The 25338-nt window shown below is 53.2% G+C and overlaps 1 protein-coding gene and 2 pseudogenes across 7 annotated transcripts in view, besides 6 other annotated features; 2 read left to right on the forward strand and 1 right to left on the reverse strand.

Annotated features, from left to right (window-relative positions):
• The window catches only part of PEMT (phosphatidylethanolamine N-methyltransferase), an 86580-nt gene that overhangs the window by 61031 nt on the left and 211 nt on the right, over positions 1–25338 (reverse strand). For 2 of the 7 annotated variants that reach the window (NM_148172.3, NM_001267552.2), the window contains exons 1-2: positions 24938–25115; positions 10327–10434 (exon numbers count right to left, since the gene is read on the reverse strand). In NM_148172.3, coding sequence (NP_680477.1) covers positions 10327–10434; positions 24938–25033 — 204 coding nt within the window. In that variant the 5' untranslated portion in view covers positions 25034–25115. Of the gene's footprint in view, positions 1–10326; positions 10435–10513; positions 10904–15673; positions 15854–24937; positions 25116–25338 lie in introns of those variants that run through there. The other 5 variants (NM_001267551.2, NM_007169.3, NM_148173.2 and 2 more) reach the window with 5 other exon arrangements.
• Positions 562–1451: an enhancer, noted in NCBI's record as "H3K4me1 hESC enhancer chr17:17470469-17471358 (GRCh37/hg19 assembly coordinates)". NCBI's record gives its function as "activates a minimal SCP1, AML or CMV promoter by ChIP-STARR-seq in naive H9 embryonic stem cells {active_cell/tissue: H9 hESC(naive)}" and the evidence as "EXISTENCE:reporter gene assay evidence [ECO:0000049][PMID:30033119]".
• Positions 1452–2343: an enhancer, noted in NCBI's record as "H3K4me1 hESC enhancer chr17:17471359-17472250 (GRCh37/hg19 assembly coordinates)". NCBI's record gives its function as "activates a minimal SCP1, AML or CMV promoter by ChIP-STARR-seq in naive H9 embryonic stem cells {active_cell/tissue: H9 hESC(naive)}" and the evidence as "EXISTENCE:reporter gene assay evidence [ECO:0000049][PMID:30033119]".
• Positions 2344–3233: an enhancer, noted in NCBI's record as "H3K4me1 hESC enhancer chr17:17472251-17473140 (GRCh37/hg19 assembly coordinates)". NCBI's record gives its function as "activates a minimal SCP1, AML or CMV promoter by ChIP-STARR-seq in primed H9 embryonic stem cells {active_cell/tissue: H9 hESC(primed)}" and the evidence as "EXISTENCE:reporter gene assay evidence [ECO:0000049][PMID:30033119]".
• Positions 10008–10753: an enhancer, noted in NCBI's record as "H3K4me1 hESC enhancer chr17:17479915-17480660 (GRCh37/hg19 assembly coordinates)". NCBI's record gives its function as "activates a minimal SCP1, AML or CMV promoter by ChIP-STARR-seq in primed H9 embryonic stem cells {active_cell/tissue: H9 hESC(primed)}" and the evidence as "EXISTENCE:reporter gene assay evidence [ECO:0000049][PMID:30033119]".
• Positions 12038–12145, forward strand: RNU6-468P (RNA, U6 small nuclear 468, pseudogene; annotated as a pseudogene).
• On the forward strand, positions 15680–19550 carry EEF1A1P43 (eukaryotic translation elongation factor 1 alpha 1 pseudogene 43; annotated as a pseudogene).
• Positions 24560–25301: an enhancer, noted in NCBI's record as "NANOG-H3K27ac-H3K4me1 hESC enhancer chr17:17494467-17495208 (GRCh37/hg19 assembly coordinates)". NCBI's record gives its function as "activates a minimal SCP1, AML or CMV promoter by ChIP-STARR-seq in naive H9 embryonic stem cells {active_cell/tissue: H9 hESC(naive)}" and the evidence as "EXISTENCE:reporter gene assay evidence [ECO:0000049][PMID:30033119]".
• Positions 24867–25256: an enhancer, noted in NCBI's record as "active region_11801". NCBI's record gives its function as "activates an Ori minimal core promoter by ATAC-STARR-seq in GM12878 lymphoblastoid cells {active_cell/tissue: GM12878}" and the evidence as "EXISTENCE:reporter gene assay evidence [ECO:0000049][PMID:35858748]".

Consider the following 25338-nt stretch of genomic DNA (forward strand, 5'->3'; position numbering starts at 1 on the left):
TCAGGGAAGCCAGGCTGGAAGAGCCAAGGCAGCCAGGTGAAGGCGGGAAAGCTGGCGAAGGGGAGGAAGCAGAAAGTGCAAAGGCACTGAAGTACGGAGAAGAACGCGTCTGCAGAACAGTGGTGGCTCAGGTGGCCCAAGCTCTGGGAGATAAGTTTCAGGAGATGCACCCAACTGGGCGCAGGGGGGCAGGTCGCGAACGAACCTCACCAGCCATGCTTAGCCTGAAGGCCACCAGCCGGGTCCACAGAAAGGTGGAAGTAGGAGGCCCAACCTACTGGGAATGCCTAAGAAAAGGGAAAGTAACTAAGGCAGCCTGGGTCCCCTGCCTCCTCTCCTCAGTGTGGGAGGGATCCCGAGAGATGTCTACACCAAACCCTACTGCCCAGGGCCGCACGCTGCCTTTCGGTTAGGGTGATTCTGCTCACACTAGCAGTGTCCAATAGCCTTCATCATGCTGTAAATGCCAGAACCAAAAATAAATCATCCAGGGAAGACACGCTTGGGTCCCACCCAGCCATCTCTGGAGTATGAGGAACCTACAGGGAGGGATGGGCCGGCTCAGTGGAAGAGATCGGCTCAGTGGGGATCCTGCCTGCCAGGCTCCAGGTGGGAGTGCGCTCCCTCTCCCCTCCCTTTTGTTCCTGTCCATGTCACTCCCAGCCATCCTGGCACAGGCTGTGAGCTGACCCAGTTCGAGACACCTTGTTGTACACTTTGTCACCACGTTGCTCAGGCACCACAATTCTAAAGTTAGCCCTAGCCTGATAGCAGAGGCTCCCCACCAGGCCAGTGCCAGCAGCACACAGAGTAATGCTGCTGCCCAGCTCAGCTGCCATTCAGAGGCAGGCAGTGCCCCAGGGGCAGCAGGGCTGTTGCCAGCTAAAAGCCCACGTCCACTGCCTGGCTCTGAAAGATCCCACACTCATGTGCCGTGGAACGGCTTGCACTTGAGACCCAACATCAAGGGGCCAGGGGAGTGAGCGTGGGCACTGGGGACAAGGCACTGACTGTCCCCAGCCATGGAGCTGAAGCTAGACCTGCCATTCGTTCTGCAGGAGTCCAGCTGTGAGCACAGCCCAGACAGGAGCGGGGGAGAGCTAGGAGGGCCACAGTATCTTAGGTGACACTGGTCTGAAGAGACAAGAGCTGTGCTCCTAGAGCCAAGGTCTCAGTCAGGCCTGATGAGCCAGCTGGCTCTGCTCAAAGAAAAACCCTTCTTGTGCCACAGGCTCCGCCAGTAAGCCCAGCTCAGCTCAGCTTTCCCGCAAGTGCAAGAGGCCCTGGCAGAGGACGACGCTTTCTGGTCCAGAAACACTGGCTTGGAGCCCACTGGATATGCGGCCATGCCCTGGGAGCCAGATTTCTGAGCCAGATGGAAGCAAGGGTCTCAGACAGTTTGGCTCATGCCCCCATCCTAACTTCTGACACACACACACTCACACACATGCACACACTCACACACCTACACACACACACACATGCCACCATCCTTGAGCAGACAGTCCAGATTGCAGGTATGCACTTGGGGTCCTCCCTCACAAGCCCCAGGCCCACCTGTAGTCCACCTTTTGTCTACACTCATATCCCTTTCCTTGGCCTCAACTCCTGCCCACCCTGCCCCTATGACTCCTCCAAAAAGCCCACGTGGGCCAAGTGCTGCCCTGCCTATGGCCCACCATCACCTCCTCCAGCCCCCACGACCCTGTCTCCCCACGCATTACCTGGTTATGCTCTCTCCGTAACTCCTTGGTTAATAAGTTGTGAGCTTTCTTATTAACCAAATGCTGATTTTTCTATGTAACATCTAATGTCCAATCTGACCTTGTTAATCCAGTGCCAGCCCAGGAGGGCAGGGTCCCGTCCCGGCACAGAGCTGCCCCAGAGCCAGGACTTGGTAAAGCGCAGGGATTGCAGCATTTCAGAGCTAGATGGGGCCTCAGCTGAGCGTCCTCACTTTACAAATGGAGAAACCGATGCCCAGGAAGGGGATGTGAATGACAAGGGTACAGGGCCTGGGCTGATCCCATAGCACCTACAAGGTCGGCTTTCCCGGCACCTGGAGGGATCCCTTGGGGCACTCAGAAACGAGCCATAGACCGCTGGCTGGGGATCTGAAAATGGAAACTGAGGCAGCAGCAGCAGCAAACTCACACTAAGGGTGGTAGGCAGGTGAGGGAGCTGCAGGTGAGGAGGTGACTGAGGTGAGGCAGGAGCACCCACACCTTTTCTTCCTTCTCCTCCTCCTCCTCTTCCTCCTCCCAGGAGCCAGGAGAAGCACACCTCACCTTGCCCACAGCGCCACCTACCGTCTGGCCACCCTGGGGTGCAGCTGCTGCCAGTACCAGCCAGCAGGTCAAACATCCAGGCCCAGGAAACCCCAGGCCCAGCCAGCGGCCCAGCGCAGCAAGTGGACTCTCACCTCCCAGAAAGGAAAAGCTGCCTCTTCCCAAACAACTCTCCAGACTACAGTGGCCAACTGTCCTGTTCTGCCCAGGACTGACTTGGGTTCCAGGGAAAGAGACTCTCAGGCTAAAAGCAGGAAAGTCCCCGGCCAGAGGGACAGGTCAGCGTCCTGATACAGACATAAGGCCTGCTGCCCCTCTATAGGTATCCTCTGCAGGGCCAAGGGCTGGGGCTTTGGTCTGGTTGACAGTGAGTGTCAGAACACCTGTCTGCAGCTGACCTGTCAAATGCCTTTCCTCTCTGGAGCACATGTGCAGGAGCCACCCCCGGCCCAATGGAGCGAGAGGTCTTGGGCAGGGTGCACTGTGGGAGAGAGGGGCCTCAGAGGGGAGGAGCTGCACACTGACCTTGAGGATGGACTTGGGTGTCCCCAAGCAAAGACCTGCACATGAGAGCCAGGCACCCAGGGAGAGCAGAAAGCAGGGTGGCCACGCAGGGCTTGGAAGGGGACAAACAAAGGCACCAGGAAGCACCCTCCCAAGGCTGGAGGAAACCGGCGTGACCCCGTGTGCATCTGCCGTCTTGGCAGGATTCCTTACAGCTCCCCTTCAGGTTTACGGGGTCCCAGTGAGGAAGGGAAGTCAGACACAGGCAACTCTGCCTAGAAATCCTTCTAGGTTGGAAGTAGGGTTCCAACTTGCTATGTCTCCAGCAGCTTTGATGTTGGTTACATGCAACTGGTCTTCAATAAAGTTAAAATACCAAAGCATGTGCACACTTTGCTCTTGTAAATAACTGCTCAAGGCAGCTGCTGTGCCTCCCATGCTGGCTCCCTCGGGACAACACAGGGCATGGCAGGGCAGGGCAAGCAGGGGGGCTCTGGGAGCTGGAGTGGCACAGGCTGCCTATCTTATCTTCACTGGGATGCCAGGAATCGCTGAGCCTGCTACAAATGACTGCTGCTCTTTACCTCCATGCAGTGCTTTATTTCACAGAGTCGGGGTGTGCATAGAACCTGGCACAATGGAGCCTCACCTTGTCCACCAGGTGCCACTGCAGAAAACCAGTCAATGGGCAATCCACGCTCACAAAGCCAATAAACACTGCCTGGACATCCATTTCTGCCAGGCATGGTGCTGGGCACAGGCACTGAGCTACAACAGGTGCCCTACCCTCCTTGACACAGAAGGTCAGGCAGCAGCTGCCACCCGGAGCACTGCACATGCCAGGATTGGGGACACAGAAGCAGAGCAGGCTCCGCTTCAACTCTCTTAGGATGCTCCTGGGAAGGGGACAGTGAGAGACAAACAGTGACAGCAGGTATGGCAGGCTGTGCTGAGGGGTAGGTACTCAGAACGCCCAGGCAGCCATGGCCCTCAAGGGACATCAGGCAATGTCTGGAAACCACTCAGATGGCCTGGGCTTGGGGTACTACTGACATCTAGTGGGCAGAGGCCGGGGACATTGCTGGACACCTGTAGTGCCAGGGATGGCCCCAAAAGTCAGCAACCCTGAGTCAGAGAGGGCAGGGTGAGGAGGCATGAGGGAGGGGACACCTGACAAGGACCACTCCAAGCTGCGGTAACAAAGGTCTGTGGGCAGCCTTGCACAAGAGAAGCCAGATCACCCAGAAAGGCCCAAGACCTGGGATGACTGAGGATACAGGTGGGAGGACGCCTGCCAGAAGGGCCTCCCGGGACAGGGGAAAAGTTCCATTTCCTGGAAAACCTGGGGACCTCTGAGCATGGCCCTCAAGGGTGGCTAGAGAGGAGCAGTGGGGAGACTGGCTGCAAGCAGCTGCTGCTGGTGATCTGGCGGGGGTGATGGCACGAAGCCAGGTAGAGTCCGCGAGGGTACAGATCCGGGGGCAGGTGAGAAGAGGGAGTCCATCCTGGTCCTTGGACCACTGCCCTGGCATCTGGAGTGATAGGGAAAGAACAGAACATTGGGGAGGTCTTGGCAGGGGCTCCCTTTGGAGACTGGAGACTCCCACGTAGGGCCACAGTGCCTGGACCCAAGGTCCTGAAGCCCTGAGGAGTCCAGGCCACAGACTGAGACTCAGATGACAGAGGGAAAAGCCTGTCAGTCCCTCTGTGACACCTTGATCTTTGTTTCCTGAGCCCTTATCACAGTGTTCATTACAAACATATCTGTGCTCTGGAAGGACAGAGGTCATTCACTCTCTGAGGACACACACAGTGCCTGGTGCATGGCAGGTTCTCGGTGACTATTCGCTGAGCAAATGAACATCAGGTGGAGGAAGCAGAATTCACAAGAACAGCAGGAAGAGAGCCAGAAAAGCATCGTGGCGCACAGGAAGGCCGGTCTCCAGGAAGAGTGAGGGTCCGCAGTGTGAACTCCCCCAAAGACCCAGAAAGAGAAGGCCGGGAAAGCCTCCCATGGTCTGAACAAGGAAGAGCAGGAGGAGGCCTTGGGAAGAAATGTTCCAACAGAGTGGAGGAGATGCCAGCTGGCCAGGTGGAGGGAGGGGTGGGAGCAGGTGGCTCACCTAGGAAGCCTGGGAGGGAAGAGGGAAGGGACGGAGTGGGTGCTGATGAGCAGAAGCGGGCAGCACCCCAGCCCAATGCTGGGAAAACACTCCCTAGAGCCACAGCCCAGAAAGGCACACAGTGGGCCTGGGGCCAAGGCCCCTCTCCAGTGCCCCCAGCTCCCCAGGAGTCCAGACTCACACACAGTCTGTTTTGTTTTGGGTTTTTTTTTTTTTCTGATACAGGGTCTCACTCTGCCACCCAAACTGGAGTTCAGTGGCTTGAGCACAACTCATGGCAGCCTCGACCCCCAGAGCTCAAGTGACCCACCCACCTCAGCCTTCCCAGTAGCCGGTGCTCACCACCACACCTGGCTAAATTTTGTATTTTTACAGAGATGACATTTCACCACGTTGCCCGGGCTGGTTTCGAACTCCTGGGCTCAAGCGATCCGCCTGCCTTGGCCTCCCAAAGTGCTTGGGATTATAGGCGTGAGCCACCATGCCTGGCCTTCTCACACTGTCTGGAGCCCAAGGACATCCGTGTCTGACACAGGCAAAACCGAGCTCTTCCTCCACAAGCCTCTCCTCCCACGGTTGCCCCAGGGCAGCCAACGGCCTTGCCTCCCACGGGTCACTCAGGCCCAACCATGGGCTGGCCAAGCCACCTCTCTCAGCTCTCCCTGATCACTGCTCCCACCTCCGCCAGTCCCACTGTGGTCAAGCTGCCATCTGGGGCCTGCTGGCCTCTCAGCTCCACCTTTGTCTCTTCTCCTCTGTCCTTGGTGCAGTGACCTTGAAACTCTGACTCAGATCATGCCACCTCTGCAATGGCTCCCAGCTCAGAGTCCAGGGAATGTCTCTCCCCATGGCCCGCAAGGCCTGCACCACCGTCCCCAGCCACCTCTCCGTCCTGCTCCTCCATTCTCCCTCTGCCTGGCTCCAGCGGCAGCTGTCCCTTAAAACCTCCGAGGACACTCAAGAGTGCCCCAGGACTTTTGCACTTGTGTTTTCCTGACAGAATGCTCTTCCCCAGACACCTGAGGGCCCTCCTGCATGAGAATCAGGTTTCTGGTGAAAGGACACCCATCAGAGAGGCCTTCCCTGACCACCACCCCTGTCTGTCCCTCCCCTTGCCTGCTGTGTCACCGGCAGTGCTATACATTCATTCACCACTGAAGCTGCTGCGTGAGGGCCAGGGGCCGGGATGGTGCCCAGCGCACAGTAGATGCTCAATAAACATTTGAAGAATGTATGAATGAACCTCTTCAAGCTTCAGTCTCCAAAGGGGATATTAACAGCATTTGCTGTGAAGATTCATTGAAATACTGCATGACATGCACTGGGCACAACACCTGAGCATGAGTCCCGCCACCACCAGCCAGCCCTCCGCAGCAACTGCAGATAAAAATATTCAAGAGCCAGGCGTGGTGGCTCATGCCTGTAATCCCAGCACTTTGGGAGGCCAACGCGGGCAGATCACCTGAGGTCAGGAGTTCGACACCAGCCTTGCCAACATGGTGAAACCCTGTCTCTACTAAAAATACAAAAATTAGTCAGGCACAGTGGTGCATGCCTGTAATCCCAGCTACTCAGGAGGCTGAGGCAGGAGAACCACTTGAACCTGGGAGGTGGAGGTTGCAGTGAGTCGAGATCGTGCCACTGCACTCCAGCCTGGGCAACAGAGCAAGACTCTGTCTCAAAAAGAAAAAAAAGGCCTGGCGCGGTGGCTCATGCCTATAATCCCAGCACTTTGGGAGGCCGAGTCAGGTGGATCACAAGGCCTGGCCAAGATGGTGAAACCCCATCTCTACTAAAACTACAAAAAAGTTAGCTGGGCTTGGTGGCAGGTCCCCGTAATCCCAGCTACTTGGGAGGCTGAGGCAGGGGAATCGCTTGAACCTGAGAGGCAGAGGTTGCAGTAAGCCAAGATCATGCCACTGCACTCCAGCCTGGGAAACAGAGTGAGATGCTGTCTCAAAAAAAAAAAAAAAGAAAAATTCAGGAAAAAAATAAAAACAAAAAGTAATAACATAAAAAATAATACAGTGTAACTACCCAGCATGTACACTGTCTTGGGTATGATAAGTAATCTAGAGATGATGTAAAGTATATGGGAGGGTGGGCATACGTTATACTCGAATACAACATTGTTTCCCATCAGGGACCTGAGCATCTGCCGATTTTGGTATCCACGGGGAACTGGAACCAATCTCCTATGGATACCCAGGGACAACTGCATTGATAACTATTAAGTTATTTAAGTGCTTCCCTGGTTGTGGCCTGTTGGCCTGTCTTTGTTTTTGTTTTTTAAGACAGGGTCTTGCTCTGTTGCCCAGGCTGGAGTGCAGTAGTGTGATCACAGCTCACTGCAGCCTCGACCTCCTGGGTTCAAGTGATTCTCCTACCTCAGCCAACCCAGTAGCTGGGACTACAGGTGCACACCACCACACACGGCTAATTTTTGTATTTTTTGTAGTGGCAGGGTTTTGCCATGTTCCCCAGGATGGTCTCCAACTCCTTGGCTCAACTGATCCACCCACTGGGCTTCTGGCATCACAGAGCTGGGCCTCGTCATCCCATTCCAGATGCCGTCCGGATACTCTCCCCGGCAGCAGCCCACGGAACTGCAACATGTTTCTTAACTTTTCTCCTTTTGAAACCACTTTGAAGAGCTCACTCCCTCTCCCACCAATGACCACAAACTGTTCCAGTGAAAAACTATCTCAAAATGAGACTAATCAAAAGCTTATGACCAAAAAAAAAAAAAAAAAAAAACCGTATGCCAAACACACAGACACATGCTGTCTTCCAAATCTTACTGCATCTTTTTTTTTTTTTTTTTTTTTAAAGACAGAGTCTCACTCTGTTACCCAGGCTGGAGTACAGTGGTGCCATCTCGGCTCACTGCAACCTCCGCCTCCTGGGTTCAAGAGATTCTCCTGCCCCAGCCTCCCGAGTAGCTGGGACTACAGGCGTACACCATCACATCCGGCTAAATTTTTGTATTTTTAGTAGAGATGAGGTTTCACTATGTTGGCCAGGCTGGTCTCGAACTCCTGACCTCAGGTGATCCACCCACCTCAGCCTCCCAAAGTGCTGGGATTACAGGCGTGGGCCACCGCGCCCGGCCAAATCTTACTGCATCTTAACCACTCTGCCATTCATGAGCCACTGAGAACCTTCACAATGAACTTCACTTTAAAAACACACTGTTGGCTAGGCTAGTGGGAAGTGACCTGAGGGGGCTTGTGCATAAATAAAAGCGTCCTCAGGACCTGCTATGCATTCAGCCAGCCAAGCTCCCAGTGCTGGGAGACCCATATGTACCTCAATGACTGCTGGTCAACGTCAGGCCTGCAGGAAGCCAGAGGGCAGGGACCTCCTCCGGCTGTAAGAGCCCAACATCTCCCTCAGAGAAGGACTGTGGACAGCCAAGAGCGTGGCACACCCAACACTCCAAAGGTTAGGCCCACAACGTCTTCCAGCAGGGGTCTTTGGCTTTTTAAATACCCTGGCCTCGCTTCCTGTGGCTGCTGTAACAAATGACTGCCAACTTAGGGGCTGAAAACAACAGCAATCCCCAATCAGTTACCACTGGGCCAAAATCAAGGTGCCGACTGGGCTGTGCTTCCACCAGAGGCTCTGGGGGAGACTCCATTTTTTGCTTCTTCCAGCTTCTGGTGGGCCTGGCCTTCCTTGGCTAGTGGCTTGGTCACTCCAGCCTCTGCCTCCATGGTGACAAGAGACACTCCTGTGTTTCAATGTCCCTGTGCCACTCCATTGTTAAAAGGACACACACAATGGCACTTAGGGCCCACCTGGGTAACTCAGGGCCATCTCCCCAGCTCAAGCTCCTTGACTTCATCACGTCTGCAAAGATCCTTGTGTGTGTGCCATATAAGAGACCTTCACAGGATGTGGACGTCTTTGCAGGACCATTTTTCAGCCTCCAAACACCCTCCTCACCCTTCACCACCTCATATCTCTGGCATGCTGGGTGTGTGCAAAGGTGAAAGGAGAGAGGAAGCATGCAGGCCAGGCAGTGGGAGGAAACGCCAGGATGGCCAGGCACTTCGGCTGCAGCCCTGGCTCCAGAGGCCCATGTCAGGAGGCTGGGGCCAGCTGGGGACGGTGTGGCTGAGAGTACAGGTGCTCCCCAGCCCAGCCAAGGCTTCTCAGGAGAAAGGGGTGTCCGGGAGGCCTGTGTTTGGCTACACCAAGCTCGCCAGTCTCACTCCCACCTCTGGACCTCCCCTCGAAGCCCCTCCCTTGTGGGCCGCCAGAGCATCCATCCTCGGAGTGTGTCCAGCATGTTCAGGACAGCAGGAACAGGGCATTCTTTGGAATGCACTGTCTTTGACATGAGCAGGCTGGCCCCCACCCACTTCTCTCACCAGATGGAGAAAAATCTCAAGTCATAAACTAAATGAAAAACATGTCCTGTTCTGCCCTGGGATCAAGGGTTCACCTTAAATGAAAACTGTCTGGAACAATGTGCTGCTGACGCTGATCTTGGCCTTACTCTGCAGATTAGCCTCGGGGGTGATCACAGGACGCTCAGGGCTCTGCATCAGCAAGCCCAACCCCCGCTGAGCCCCAGGACCACCCACTCCCCCAGCAGGATCCCCGGGAAGCAGCCCAGAAGCACCCCCCAGAGACAGCCTTGGGAGAGCGGGCCAGGAACCCCAAGAGCTTCACCCCACAGTCTGGGAGGTGTGGGAGGCATCTCAGAAAGGCTGCAGAAGGAACTGACGGCCCTCCCCTCCCACACTTTCCTCGAAGGGCCCAGAGCCCACTTCCCATGCAGTCCACCCACCCCTCGGTGCTGGTGCCCGGGCACCCAAACATCCCCTGGCACCCATCACGAGCTGGTGCCACGCTGGTGGCTTCCTTTCAACTCATGCCGGCTTGCTCCTGCCACCCAGCTCGCCTAGGTCCGGAATGCGCAGGCCGTTTTGCAGGAAGCCTCATGTGGGAAAAATAACCATGTTTGTGGAACACACGAGGGGTGGGAGATTCACAAGCAAGTGGCTTTACTGTGTGACATGGCAGAGAGGGAAGAGAGCCCCTACTTCCTGGGCAACCCACTTCATGCATGAGAAGGCCACCAGACTGCCAGGCACATGTGACCAATGGCAGCCCCACCATGGCAGCGTTCTCCTGCAGGTTCTTGTGAGGGTAGGAGGGCCACCCCTACAGTCCTGGACCATCCTGACGCCAGCCTGGGCAGCCCAATGGCTGCTGGATCCCCAAGGCAAGACGGCAGGAAGCGCCTAGTACTCCACACCAGCCAGCGACAGACACGGGAGGGAAGAGCAGAGCTGTCTGTCTGTCTGGCCAGCCAGCAGCAACCACCGCGATCCCCTGCATGTGGGGCTCACCAAGCAGTGAGATACTCCCGTCTGGACAGTGTCAGGCACATCACTTACCACATTCCAGTAGAGCGGATTGAAGGTGATGGTGATGACGGCAGCCACAAAGCTGGGATCCAGGGGGTCCACGTAGCCCAGCAGCCGGGTCATAACGCAGAAGTCTGCCTGCAGGGACAGAGCTAGCATCAGCACCACCCAGACACAGCAGGGCCTGTGAGCCCCCAGGAGTCGGAGAAAAAGTTACCCTCTGGGAACACACTGGGAGGCCTGGGAACATCCAAGTCCGGCAAAGGTTACTACAGTGTAGTCTCATAAAAGGGAAGATAAAAAGCTGAAACCTAATGAGCTGTGTCATGTCCTGGGAGGGCGGCCGCAGAAATGTGCCTGGATGCCAGATGAGGAAATCAGCACCTCTGAAGAGGGGTGCCTGGCACCCTGAAGGGAGGTGACACCAACCCTGGTGTGACCGAGACCCTCCTGGATGAGGGTTCTCAGAGGCCCCAGAGGAAACCCAAGCAGCTGAGATAAATGTGAAGAGATGCTCAACCTACCAGGAATCAGGTAAAAGCAAATTAAAACAATAGTGGTGTGCCTCTCCTCGCCCACACTCGACAGGGGACAATCTTGAGTGCACACGAGGGTGTGAGTGGGGCGGGGTAAACTGAAAAAGTGTGTGCCCACATCCCGGCCACGCCACCCGCATACGGGGGGCACGTGGACACTGCCCCCGCCCCGCCATCATCTTGCATGAAAACGTCAGGAACAATGACAAACAACTTAGGTGTCCAGCAACCAAAGAAATGAAGAAAAAAAAAAAAAACCCACGGCCCATTCCTACAGCAGCTAAACTACAGCAGTTAAAAGCACTAGGTCGGCCGGGCGCGGTGGCTCATGCCTGTAATCCCAGCACTTTGGGAGGCCGAGGCGGGCGGATCACGAGGTCAGGAGATCAAGACCATCCTGGCTAACACGGTGAAACCCCATCTCTACTAAAAATACAAAAAATTAGCCGGGCATGGTGGCGGGCGCCTGTAGTCCCAGCTACTCAGGAGACTGAGGCAGGAGAATGGCATGAACCTGGGAGGCGGAGCTTGCAGTGAGCAGAGATCGCGCCACTGCACTCCAGCCTGGGCAACAGAGTGAGACTCCGTCTCAAAAAAAAAAAAAAAAAAGCACGAGGTCTACACACAGCACTGTGAAACGTTCTGAAACACACGGCTGAGTAGAAGAGCAGGCTGCATGATTCAGCACCTAGACAGAAATTTCTAGAAAACAACATAAAATATAGTATCAAATATTCAGATTTTACAATTTTTTTTTTTTTTGAGACAGAGTCTCCCTCTGCCACCCAGGCTGGAATGCAGTGGCGCGTTCATAGCTCACTGCAACCTTGAACTCCTGGGCTCACTTTGGGAGGCCAAGGTGGGAGAATCACTTGAGGCCAGGAGTTTGAGACCAGTCTAGGCAACATAGTGAGACCCTGTCTCTACAAAAATGTAAAAACTAGCTGGGCGTAGTTCCAGTTACTTGGGAGGCCAAGGCAAGAGGATCGCTTGAGCCCAGGTGTTCGAGGCTGTAGTGAGCTGTGATCGTGCCACTTGCACTCCAGCCTGGGCAACCCTGTCTCAAAAAATAAACAATTAATTAATTTAAAAATAAATTAAAATAAAAAACTTTTTCTAAAATGCACTGAAAAATATTATGGTGTCTCTCCACATGCAACTCAAAATTTTTTAAAAATACTAAATTATAAAATAAGTGTAAAGTTGTGCTCGCTTCAGCAGCACATATACTAAAATTGGAACAATACAGAGAAGATTAGTATGGCCCCTGCACAAGGGTGACACATACAAATTCATGAAGCGTTCCACATTTTTGGACACAAGGAGGGGAACATCACACCGAGGCCTGTCAGGGGGCGGGGGGCTAGGGGAAGGATAGCATTAGGAGGAATACCTAAGGTAGATGATGGGTTGATGGATGCAGCAAACCACCATGGCAAATGTATACCTATGTACAAACCTCCATGTTCTGCACATGTACCCCAGAACTTAAAGTATAATAATAAAAATTTTTTTAAAAAATTAAAAACAAAAAATAAAAAAAATAAGTGTAAAGTCCATCAGAGCTGTGATCTTTCCCATAATGGTGTGTTTTGTTCTATTGCATTTGGAAATACAGTAAATTCCTTCAAAGAGCGCTTTGATCTCCCACATTTTGGGGAAGCGGTGGGGAGGAGATGGTGCTTCTGCCCAGGGTCAGCCAGCCCTGGGGGGCAAGCGCAGCCTCCACTCCAATCCTTGCTTCCCCAAACGACAGTCTCCTGACATAACTCTGCCTGCTACCAGGTCACTTGCAGGGTGTGACCATGGGATGTCCCTCAGACGTCTATCAGTATAAAGCCATCTTCTGCTATGGCCTGCCATCCTTCCCACGTGTGGCCTCCCCACCTGATCAGCCTGCATCCCTGAGGTGCAAACAATCATCTCACTGTAGGGCCAAGGGCAGGGCTAAGCAGATGTTAAATGCTCTAGGCCGGGCGTGGTGGCTCATGCCTATAATCCCAGCACTTTGGGAGGCCGAGGTGGGCGGATCACCTGAGGTCAGGAGTTTGAGACCAGCCTGGCCAACATAGTGAAACCCCGTCTCTACTAAAAACACAAAAATTAGCTGGGCGTGGTGGTGCATGCCTATAATCCCAGCTACTCAGGAGGCTGAGGCAGGAGAATTACTTGAACCCGGGAGGTGGGAGTTGCAGTGAGCCAAGATGCGCCACTGCACTCCACTGGGTGACAGAGCAACACTTCATCTGAAAACAAACAAACAAACAAAATGCTCCAATGCAGGCCCCTCCTAAGGGATGAATGAGCTGACATAGGACCAAAGGTGCACTGCTACTGGAATCTGTAGACAGAATAGCTGAGTGAAAGAGTGGCCACGGCAGCAGGTGTGGGCATCAGTAAACAAATGACTAAGAAAAGCCACTCCGCAAATGGCGGGAAGAAGGAACCCAGGGAAGCACCACTTGCCTAGCTGTGGCCACAGCCTCTGGGAACTGCGCAGTGCCTGCCCAGCGCCTGCAGCCAACAAGGCCTGGCGCTCCAGCAGGTGCCTCCCAACGCCTGGGGCTGTGAGCCTAGGCCCACACTCCCCAGAGCAGACACTGGCCGCTCATGAAGGACAACTGGGCCAGGCTCAGAGCAGGCTGTCCTGCCCTGAAGGGAGGGGAAGGGAGGGGAGGGAAGGCCTGTGATGCAGCCCCAAAGCTTCTAGAACCTGGGGCTTAACCTGAGGCCTGGCCTTATCTTCAGCTTGATGATAACATCTATTAAGCACCTCCAGTCTAGGCATGGTGGCCTGTAATCCCAGCACTTTGGGAGGCTAGGCAGGCAGATCACAGGGTCAGGAGTTTGAGACCAGCCTGGCCAATGTGGTGAAACCCCATCTCCACTAAAAATACAAAAATTAGCCAGGCATGGTGGCGCACGCCTATAGGCCCAGCTACTCGGGAGGCTGAGGCAGAAGAATGGCTTGAACCTGGGAGGCGGAGGTTGCAGTGAGCCAAGATTGTCCCACTGCACTCCAGCCTGGGTGACAGAACGAGACTCCGTCTCAAAAAAAAAACAAAAACAAAAAACACGCATCCAATTCCAAGGCCCTGTCCCTTGACAGCCTGGTGGGGGGAGGGTGGAAAGCTGGCTCAGGGAAGAGTCGTGGCTTTGGTCATGCCTGGCACTTACGAAGTGCACCAAGAGTGAGTTATCTCCCTGCATGTGCACAGCAGACCCTATGAGTGGGCCAGCGGCCAGTTTTCACCCATCCCTCCCACTCCCCATTCCCCATTCAGCCCCCAGCCAAAACCTGGCCTCACCCTACCCCTCCCTTGCCTCATTCCCATTACCAATCCTCCCGTGGCCCATCTGTTATTCCGCCTCTTACACAACCACCTAATCCACTCCCTCCTCCAACCCTGGCTTTGCCGGTTGCTCCCCAGGGCACAGCAAAGGACCTCAGTGGCCTCCTGCCTTTGGACTTCCCCCAGAGCCCTCCCCATGGACCCTTACCTATGGACCAGCATGCTGTTAGCCAAGCCAAAGAGGAGAAAGGGCAGAGTGTGAGTCACAGAGCAGAGCCCCGCTCAGCTAGGGGAAAGGGGAAAGCAGGAAAGGCCTAGGGACACTGAGCCTGGGGCCAGGAAGGGACAGAGGGCATTTTCCAGGGCCAGGAAAAACACTTCCCATATCACTGGCGCCCCTTCAACTCTACAGCTAAGAGAGGTGCATCTTCCTGAGTGTAAATGATCTCTCTACTACTTCCCCACTGGGCCCTGGGGGAAATGCTGCCTCTCATAAGGAATTCAACTCGATGTTAGTCACCTTAGCTGAGCTCCACTAAGGAGGCCCTCACTCTAGGGGATCTAAGAAAACACAGGACCTGTCAGTGAGCGCAGACCTATCTCTGGCCATACTCTCAGCCACCCTAAAAGTAAAGCCTTGTTGTTAGCCTACTTTCCAGATAAAAGAGCAAAGCCTCCAGACCCCAGGCAGTGAGGAGCAGAGCCAGCCTGAGCAAGGCCAGCCCTACCAGACAGAAAGCCCCATAAAAATGGGACAAGGATAAAAGTGAGTGCTTCTGGGTCTTGAAACCCAAGGAAACTGGGAAAGTGAGCAAGAAATATGCTTTTTTCACCTTCTGTGGGAGCCAAGATGAAGGACGGAAACTGAGCACTGAAAGATTAAGCAACTAACACTGGGGGAACCCAGCAGCAGCTGACATCCACCTGAGTCTCCCAATTAGGGCTGAACTGGTCAAAGCTGGAACGTATCCACCCCCTCCCCCCTCTCCCTCCTGTGCCCAGGTCCCAATGGCCTCAGGTCAGCCTGTCTCAGGAGGGTGGTGGTGTCCATCCGGTCACTTCAGTCACCTTGAGGAGGATTTATGTTGCCCGGAGAAGCACCTGCTTCGCTGGAAAGAATGACTAATGGTTCAGAGTGGAATTCTAGGCAGCAGAGGGAAGCCCCTCCCAGCTCCCCGATCCCCACTCAGAGACATGATAGTCCCTTTCTCATAGCTGTCATTTCCAAAACCCCCCTCAGGAGGGTGGACCTCCCTCCTGAAACTGGATTGGCAAAAAAGAACCAAAAATCCAGGTCAGACGTGAGCAGAGTAGGAGAGTCCTGGGTCCCACATCCAGGCTCTGCCTCCGGGTGTCAGAGTCTCCCTTGATGGCCTCCCCTTCACACCTGTGACCAAAGGGCGGTCTCCCATCCACTCCCAGCCCCAACCTCCTTCATACAACAGAGGTCCCGGCTTTCTGCTACCCAGTAATTCTAATGGAACCCCCACTCCAAGGCTCCAGGTTGCAGAGGCCTCGGAATCTGACTAAAGGAAAGGAGCTACCCACCACGGCCAGGAGGTCTGCTGAGCTGCAGGAATAGCTCGAGTCCCACAGGTCACCGACGAATAGCCTCAGCTGTTAACACCCCAAAGCATGGGTAAGGAAGAGGCTTTATGGTAATTTACTCCATTGAGGGGTGCAGGGTTCTCGGGAGCAGCGCTCTGTGGTCAGGGAATGATCTGCAGTGGGTCAACATGTCACATTGTGACACATGGACAAACAGCAGGCCTGGACAGGCAAAGTCACATCGATTCCAGGCCACACACCACACACAACAAAGGGCAGGGGAATGGGTGGGGGCTGCTGGAGAGGGGACAGGTCCTCCTGGGATCCATCACCCCTGCAGAATCTGCCTGCAGCGCTGCAGCCCCCACTGCCCCCAGAGCTGCCCTCATGCCCTGGCACCATAAGCTGACTCGGGTAACGTTTATTTAGGGCAACTTTGGGTTAGAGCCCTGTGCCTGGCACAAAGACATAAGGATGAGTGTGCCAGAGTCTTTTTCCTCTAAGTTTATTCTCTGGGCCGGGCGCGATGGCTCACCCCCGTAATCCCAGCACTTTGGGAGGCCTAGGCAGGCGGATCACAAGGCCAGGAGTCAGAGATCAGCCTGGCCAATATGGTGAAACCCCGTTTCTACTAAAAATACAAAAATTAGCTGGACATGGTGGTGCACGACTGTAGTCCCAGCTACTGGGGAGGCTGAGGCAGAAGAATCACTTGAACCTGGGAGGCAGAGGTTGCAGTGAGCCGAGATCATGCCACTGCACTCCAGCCTGGATGACAGAGCGAGACTCCATCTCAAAAAAAAAAAAAAAGAAGAAGTTTATTCTCTGGCCGTGCCCAGTGGCTCACGCCTGTAATCCCAGCATTCTGGGAGGCCAAAGCAGGCAGATCACCTGATGGTCAGGAGTTCGAGACCAGCCTGGACAACATGGTGACACTCCGTCTCTACTAAAAATACAAAAATAGCCAGACGTGGTGGCAGGCACCTGTAATCCCAGCTACTGGAGAGGCTGAAGCAGGAGAATCGCTTCAACCCAGGAAGTGGAGATTGCAGTGAGCCGAGATCACGCCACTGCACTCCAGCCTGGGCAACAAGAGTGAAACTTCATCTCAAAAAATAAAATAAAATAAAAATATTTTTTAAAAAGTTTATTCTCTGGTAGAAGAGGAGAAGCCATTTCATATTAAGCCAGCCCCCTAACCCTGTTTTTCCACATAAGAGGCCACCTGGCTCAGAGGACTCTGGCCTTTGGCAGCCACTGTCTGAGCTGGGAGCTTCACCACCCACCGTGAGGGACCATGGCAAGCCTCCCATGACCAATCTAAGCCCAGGTTTCCCTTGAGTGGAATGGGGGTGATGAGACAGGCCACCTGAGGTTACCTTCTGCACAGAAGCAAGAACAGATGTAAAAGTACAGGGCCCACTCAGGGCCGAGGCTGGCGGCCCCTCTACTCTGTCTGCTTAATGTCAACTAATACAGGTCCCTCTCTCACCATTCACTCTCTGGAGGGACCCTCCTGGGAAGACCCCGATGCTGGAATCTGAGGTCAGGCAAGCCCTGGGCAGCAAAAACCACCTCATGGCAGGAGGGGTGGAAGTTAGAATGTCACAATGCGACTGTGGTCTCTAGATCCCACAGTAAAACGAAATGGCAGGCAGCTGCTCCAGTTCCCTAGATCCATAACTCCTTTCAGGAGGGTGAAATGTCATTCATTCTTCAATTAACAAGTGTGACCTGCACCAAACTCAAAAGGCACTGACAGCTCACGTGCTCCAGCAGGGGTGGGTGTGGGGCCCACGGGTAAGACGGTGCTTCTCAAGGCCCTGCTCGCCTCCACGCTGGGCTGCCTCTTCTCACTCCTCTGCTGGTTGTGAGCTTCACCCCATTTTCTTTTTTCTTTCCTTTTTTTTTGAGATGGAGTCTCACTCTATCACCCAGGCTGGAGTACAGTGGCGCGATCTCTGCTCACTGCAAGCTCCACCTCCCGGGTTCACGCCATTCTCCTGCCTCAGCCTCCTAAGTAGCTGGGACTACAGGCGCCCGCCACCATGCCCAGCTATTTTTTTGTATTTTTAGTAGAGACAGGGTTTCACCGTGTTAGCCAGGATGGTCTCGATCTCCTGACCTCATGATCCGCCTGCCTCGGCCTCCCAAAGTGCCGAGGGATTACAGGCGTGAGCCACCGCACCCGGCCCAAACCTGGCTAATTTTTTTTTATTTTGTAGACATGGAGTCTCACCACATTGCCCAGTTTGGTCTGGAACTCCTGGGCTCAAGTGAGTCTCCCACCTCGGCCTCCTCCCAAAGTACTGAAACTACAAGTGTGAGCCACCAAGCCCAGCCATCTTCCTTTTCTTTACCTTTACCTTCCAGGGCCCAGGACAGAACCTGCTAGGTGCTACTGTGTCTCTGTGTAAATACACATTGTATTTTGAAGACAATAGTAACAATAAGCCAGCCAACCTTCACTCGGAAGTGAACCAGCTGCCAAGCTCTGGCAAGGGACTTGCAGGAGGCAGAACAGAGTGCTGATGAGACAAGGACGCCCGTGCCACGGCGGGCAGCCATCTCCCCTCGCTGAGCACCGCTTCCTAGCCTGGGAGGTGGGAATGGTAGAGGTGCCATGGGACGCCAGGAGGATTAAATGAGAAAGTGCAAGGAAAGCACTCAGCGCAGTGCCTGGCGGGGGGCATGGCTAGACAGACGCTGGCTGTGACAACTGTGTCATCGAGTCCTGGTGACAACCCTGCGAGGCATGCCCACTCTTCAGATTAAGAACTGAGGTGAGTGGCCAGGCGCGGTGGCTCACGCCTGTAATCCCAGCACTTTGGGAGGCCAAGACAGGTGGATCACCTGAGGTCAGGAGTTCAAGACTAGCCTAGCCGATATGGTGAAACCCCGTCTCCACTAAACATACAAAAATTAGCCGGGCGTGGTGGCAGGCGCCTGTAATCCCAGCTACTCTGGAGGCTGAGGCAGGAGAATCGCATGAACCTGGGAGGCGGAGGTTGCAGTGAGCTGAGGTCATGCCACTGCACTCCAGCCTGGGCGACAGAGCGAGAATCCATCTCAAAAACAAACAACAACAACAAAAAGAAGTGAGGTGAGGTATGAAGCAAAAGCTGACAGAACTAAAGGGTGGAAAAGACAAATCCACAGTTCTTGTTAGGGCCCTCCATGGTCCTCTCAGTGACTGAGAGAATCAAAGCAGTGGACAAGAAGGCTGCTGGAGCTGGCAAGGTCACCAAGTCTGCCCAGAAAGCTCAGAAGGCTAAATGAATATTATCCCTAATACCTGCCACCCCGCTCTTAATCAGTGGTGAAGAACGTCTCAGAACTGTTTGTTTCAATTGACCATTTAAATTTAGTAGTAAAAGACTGGTTAATGATAACAATGCATCATAAAACCTTTAGAAGGAAAGGAAAATGTTTTGTGGACCACTTTGGTTTTCTTTTTTGCCTGTGGCAGTTTTAAGTTATTAGTTTTTAAAATCAGTACTTTTGAATGGAAACAACTTGACCAAAAATTTGTCGGGCCGGGCGCGGTGAGTCATGCCTGTAATCCCAGCACTTTGAGAGGCTGAGGCGGGCGTATCATGAAGTCAGGAGATCGAGATCATCCTGGCTAACACGGTGAAACCCCGTCTCTACTAAAAAATTAAAAAAATTAGCTGGGCGTGGTGGCAGGCGCCTGTAGTCCCAGCTACTCGGGAGGCTGAAGCAGGAGAATGGCGTGAACCCGGGAGGTGGAGCTTGCAGTGACCCAAGATGGCGCCACTGCACTTCAGCCTGGGCGACAGAGCGAGACTCCGTCTCAAAAAAAAAAAAAAAATTGTCACAGATTTTTGAGACCCATTAAAAAAAATCTAATGAGAAAGAAAGAAAGAAAAAGAAAGAGAAAAAGAAAGAAAGAAAAAGAAAAAGAAGGAAGGAAAGAAAGAAAGAAAGAAAAAGAAAGAAAGAAAGAAAGAAAGAAAGAAAGAAAGAAAGAAAGAAAGAAAGAAAGAAAGAAAGAAAGAAAGAAAAAAAAAAACGCAGGTGGAAAATCGGGAGGACGCAGCTGACCTGAGCAGCGCCATCCAGTGGCTGGACCTGACCACAGCACATGGCAGCCTTGGGAACAGCCTGCAGTCTCTGGTGTCACCAAAACAGATCACACTTGGGGCCACCAAACAAACCTTAAATTTAAACGAATAGAAAGCATACACAGTATGCTCCCAAACCACCACAGAATTAAACTCGAAATCAGTCACAGAAAGCGATCGTGGAAAGAATGCACGCGAGGGCCAAATGGGAAGTCTTGGGAAATCTAGAAACATTTTGAACTGAATGAAAATGAGAATAGAACACATGAAACCCTGTGGGATGCGGCTAAGGCAGGGCTTCTATTAGTAAGGAAGAAAAGTCCCAGGTCAGGAATATAAGCTTTGCCCTTAAGAAATTACAGAAAGAGTGGCTGGGCGCAGTGGCTCATGCCTATAATCCCAGTACTTTGGGAGGCTGAAGCAGGCAGATTACTTGAGGTCAGGAGTTCAAGACCAGCCCGGCCAACATGGTGAAACCCCATCTCTACTAAATATACAAAAATTAACCAGGCGTGGTGGAGGGCGCCTGTAATCCTAGCTACTTGGGAGGCTGAGGCAGGAGAATTGCTTGAACCCGGGAGACGGAGGTTGCAGTGAGCCGAGATTGCACCACTGCATTCCAGCCTGGGCAACAGAGGAAGACTCCGTCTCAAAAAAAGAAAGAAAGAAATTAGAGAAAGAGGAATGAGTTAAACCCAAAGGAGGCAGGACAAAAAATTAAAGATAAGCAAAAATCAATCAAATTGAAAACAGGAAAACAATAGAGAAAAAAAAATTACACCCAAAGCTGGTTCTTTGGGGAAAATTTATTTTCCCAATAAAACTGAGAAACCTCCAGCCAGCCTGACCAAGAAAAAAAGAGAAAAGACACAAAATATCAATATCAGAAATAAAAGGGGGGACTTCTCTACTGACCTCACAAACATTAAAGTAATAATAAGGGAATACTATGAATAACACAAATTAAGTAACTTAGATGAAATGAACCGATCCTTGCAAGACACAACTGTCAAAATTCATTCAAGAAATAATCCTTTATCTTTTAAAGGATTTGAATTTATGGCTTAAAAACCTAAAAAAAGAAAGCCTTGAGCCCAGATGGTTTCCTGGATGAATTCTGCCTAACATTTAAGGAAAAAATAATTCCAATTCCACACAATCTCTTCCAGAATATGGAAGAGGGAGGCAATACTTCCCAACTCACTGTATTACCCTAACACTAAAACCAGGCCGGGTGCAGTGGCTCACCGCCTGTAATCCCAGCATTTTGGGAGGCCAAGGTGGGTGGATCACTTAAGGTCAGGAGTTTGAGACCAGCCTGGCCAACAACCCTGTCGCTACTAAAAATACAAAAAACAAAACAAAACAAAACAAAAACCAGGTGTGGTGGTAGGTGCACCTGTAATCCCAGCTACTCGGGAGCCTGAGGTGGGGGAATTGCTTGAACTCGGGAGGCGGAGGTTGCAATGAGCTGGTATCACGCCACTGCATTCCTGAGTACATGCCTGAGCAACAGAGCGAGACTCTGTCTTAAAATAAATAAATTAATTAAATCAAATGAAACCAGATAAAGAAAGAAGATCCCCCCAAAAATTAGAGCAAATCAAATCCAGCAATATATACAAAGGATAATATGTTAGGACCAGCCAGAGATCACCCCAGGAATCCAGAGCTAGTTCAACATTCAAAACATCAATGGAATTCATATTTACAGCTTAATGAGGAAAAACAGTGTCATCTCAACAGAGGCAGGGGAAACAAGCTCCAAGAGTTTCTGTCATTGTTTTGATGAGCAGCCACGGAAAGCCTCAACCCTGCTCTGTCTTGGCTGATGCCAAAATTACTGAAGACAAAATGTACGGCCTTGAAAACACCACAGAGTAACTCATCTAATATAACGGCCTAATGTTTATTTCAACTAAAGTAATACAATCAAAAGATTTTTGGAAACGATTTTGGATAAAGGCAAACATTTTTCCCTGAAAGGCAGTCAAGATACCCCGCATCGGCCATCGGAGCTTTGCCTCCAGGGTCTTACTCGGGTGCCCATATTACACACAGGGACCTGTGTCCCCTGCCCCAGGTCTCTCAGCCTTCTGAATACAAGGGCTTTGCCTTCTTGAGGACCACCCTTAGGTGGGCTGCACTCGATACTTCATAAAGCTTTACACCCCTCATCTCATTCTGGTCTTCACCATAACCCCCTCACTGTCCCCATTCTTCTTGACACCAACACCAAGCTGGAGACATCATCACTCACCCGCTCTGGTGAGCAGGTGATTCGCTATGGAAAAGGGACCTGAGACCTGGGCATGTGCCCTTGCTCTGAGGACCTCAGTGTGCTCTGCCAGCCTGGGTGCCCGCACCCCTAGGCCCTACTGGAGTCATCTTCTGAATCCTGGAGGTGCCCCGGCCTGTGGACAGCAAGATGCAGACCCTGCTCTCATCCATCTGCCACCCCACTGCCTTCAGGCAGCTGCCCAGCTGAGGAGCAAGGCTCCAGAATCCTGACAGGGAGGGCAACAAGGAGCAAAAGGGCCTTAGTCAGTGGGGCTGCAGCGGGCACACTCCTCACCCTAACTCCTCAGCCCAATGGCTGATTCTTTGGGTTGTTTGTTTTTGTTTTGAGACAGAGTTTCGCTCTTCTAGCCCAGGCTGGAGTGCAATGGCGTGATATCAGCTCACTGCAACCTCCACCTACGGGGTTCAAGTGATTCTCCTGCCTCAGCCTCCCGAGTAGCTGGGATTACAGGCATGTGCCGCCACGCCTGGCTAACTTTTTATATTTTTAGTAGAGATGGGATTTCTCCATGTTGGTCAGGCTGGTCTCAAACTCCCGACCTCAGGTGATCCACCTGCTTTGGCCTCCCAGAGTGCTGGGATTACAGGCGTGAGCCACCGTGCCCAGCCCCAACAGCTGATTTTTTTTTTTTTTTTTTTAAAAACAAAAGCAAGATTCTGTACCTGCTGAAGCAGGCCCAGAAAAGAGCTGGTGGAGGGCATGGTACCCAGAGCAGCACTGTTTGGTATGACATGGCAGCCACTGGTCACAGGCAGTGCCACAAGCTTGGAATGCCACAGGACAAAATATGTCTGATATATATTTTGGTAACAATAAAATATATTGTCAAAATTATTTTTCTATTTCTTTGCTATTTTCCATTTCTTCTCACTAATTTAACATGGCTACTAGAAAGGTTTAAATTATGCATGTGGCACACGATGTTTCTACTGGACAGCACAGCAGCACAGGGCTAGCACCGGAGATCCTGCAGCTCAGACGCCCATGGGGTGAACAAAAACCTTGCAACTCTCCCAGGCCAGGGACTGACATATTTTAAAACCGGAGATTTTGATTGAGGAGGGAGTAGAGCTACCACATAAGCAAATATGTAATGTTGTATGTTGTATGTTTCTTTCTTTCTTTCTTTAAGAAAAATCCCTTGGCAACAGGAAGCTTAACTGCACCAACAAGGACAGCAGAAGAAAAGCAGAATGTTAGTCAACAAGGGTCACCCTGACCCGAACCCCAGCCCCAGCTCTCTCCAGCTGCACAGCCCTGGGGAGAAAGGAGAAAGAGCAGAGAAGCCCACCCCTCACACACCCGGTTAGTCTCCCCTGCCCACTGGCAGGCCCTGGGGCAGGCCCCTAGATGGGTCTGCAAAGGGACACTGCCCCCTTGCATTCTGCCCCCCCTTCTACATGGCTCCCCCACCCACCCTTCTACACGGTGGCTTCTGAGGGCAGCCCCTGGAGGTGATCATGACCCCCCATCTTGATCTGAGGATTAACAGATACAGGTTCACCTGGTGAAAATGCAGGAGCTGTAGGGGTAGGACCCATCACTCATCTGACTGCATGTTGTAATTCAATGGACAGTTTACTAAAGTAATAGTCTTCTTCCTGTCCTCTGCTGAGCACCCATCTGGCCAACGGTCCTGCGCTCCCTCAGGGCCAGCGGCCCATCTCCTCCTGTGCCTCCTGGAGGGCTTCGCAACTGCCTCCCTCCTCTGGGGAATCTTGCCCCACTGACTGACCTTTCGGCTCTCAGATCCCAGGTCCCTCCCTCGCAGATACGGCAACAGGCTCTCTTGGGATTTCAATCCCGCCTTCCCATCAGCTACTCTTCAAAACACTAACTGGTATTAGCTCCTTCAGAGAACTCTCTGGCTTTCCAGGCCTACAATCTCCCTCCCTAGAATGAAAGCTCAGTGACAGAAGTGCCCTTAAACTTCTGAGTGACACGAGGCCCTCAGCCGGCCCTGAATCAATACTGGCTGGATCAGTGAGTGAATAAATGCACATGTGAGTAAGGAATGAAGGGAGCGAAAGAACTGGATTAGAAGCTGCTTGGGGCAGAGATGTGCCTTACAGGCTTCATGAAGAGTGGGTGATGAAAAAGGTAAATGGAGCATCTAAGAGGAAGCTTTGATAGAAGGGAGAATGCAAGAGAGGTTGGAAATTGGAATCCATTGGAATTGGGAGCCTGGGGAGATGCCAGGACAGGCACTCTCTGGCCTAGGACTCTGCAGAGGGCAGCCTCAGCAGGCAAGCCAGGCCCCCAGCTTCTGGGGCCGGTCGCACCCATTATGGCCCCGAAACGGCTGGGTGGTGGTCTGCAGCCTGCCCAGGGCCGGCTGGGAGACAGGCAGGGTCCCCACCACTCTCTTGCCTCTGGGCAAAAGCTGGCCTCCTGACCCTGGGGGATGGACGGGAGCAGGGGCCACACAACACACTCCCAAACATATAATCGGCCTCCTTCACCCTCGCCCACGCTCAGTCACACACAGCCTCGGTCATACACACTCACACTCACTCTCCGGCACACTCTCAGAGCATCACATAATTTCAGTGAGACACAATCCCAAAGACTAACACGGACAACCTCTGAGTCTCACACAATCTCAGGGCCACACACAGGCACACAATCAGACGAGCTCAGGAACGCCCCCGTCTCTGACACACGCAATCTGAGGTTTACACGCGCGCGCACACGCACACACACAGACACCAGCCGGCGCTCCCGCACGCGGCTCCCCCACCCCCGCCACGCCACGCCCCCATTGCCTGGGAACTGGCGGCCCCGCCCCGCAGCGTTTGAGGCGCCGCAAGCCTTCACGCCCCTCGGGCCTTGCAGATCCCTCTCCCAGTTTCCGCGGCGGTCCGGTGCGGTCAGTACCTGTCTAAAATCAATATTGCCGAGGCCTCCGCAGCAGTCAGGCCCTGCCACCGAGCTGTTCGTTACCTCGGCTCCCGGGTTCCCAGATCTCTTCATCCGGGGGCCGCCTCAGGAGGCACCACGCGGGCCCCGCTGCAGCCACGCGCCCCCGGAACCGGACCTATAGAGCCGGGTAAGTGCCGCCAGTCGGGGCGCTTTCCCGGTGACCCCCAACATATTCCGGCCTTCTGGGAAATGTAGTTCCCCGTCACCGCGAAGTGCCTCTTTATCTGGGGGCTCGCGACAGCGTCTAGAGGAGCCGAGAACTACAAGTCCCAGTGTGTTTCGCCGCAGAGCCTGCCGGTTCCGCTGCAGCTACGTAGCAGTATCCCCTTGGATCCGGCCTCCCGCCCAGTGCCTTT

The sequence above is a fragment of the Homo sapiens genome, chromosome 17 (genome assembly GCF_000001405.40).
Source record: "Homo sapiens chromosome 17, GRCh38.p14 Primary Assembly".
NCBI classification, from domain to species: Eukaryota; Metazoa; Chordata; class Mammalia; order Primates; family Hominidae; genus Homo; species Homo sapiens.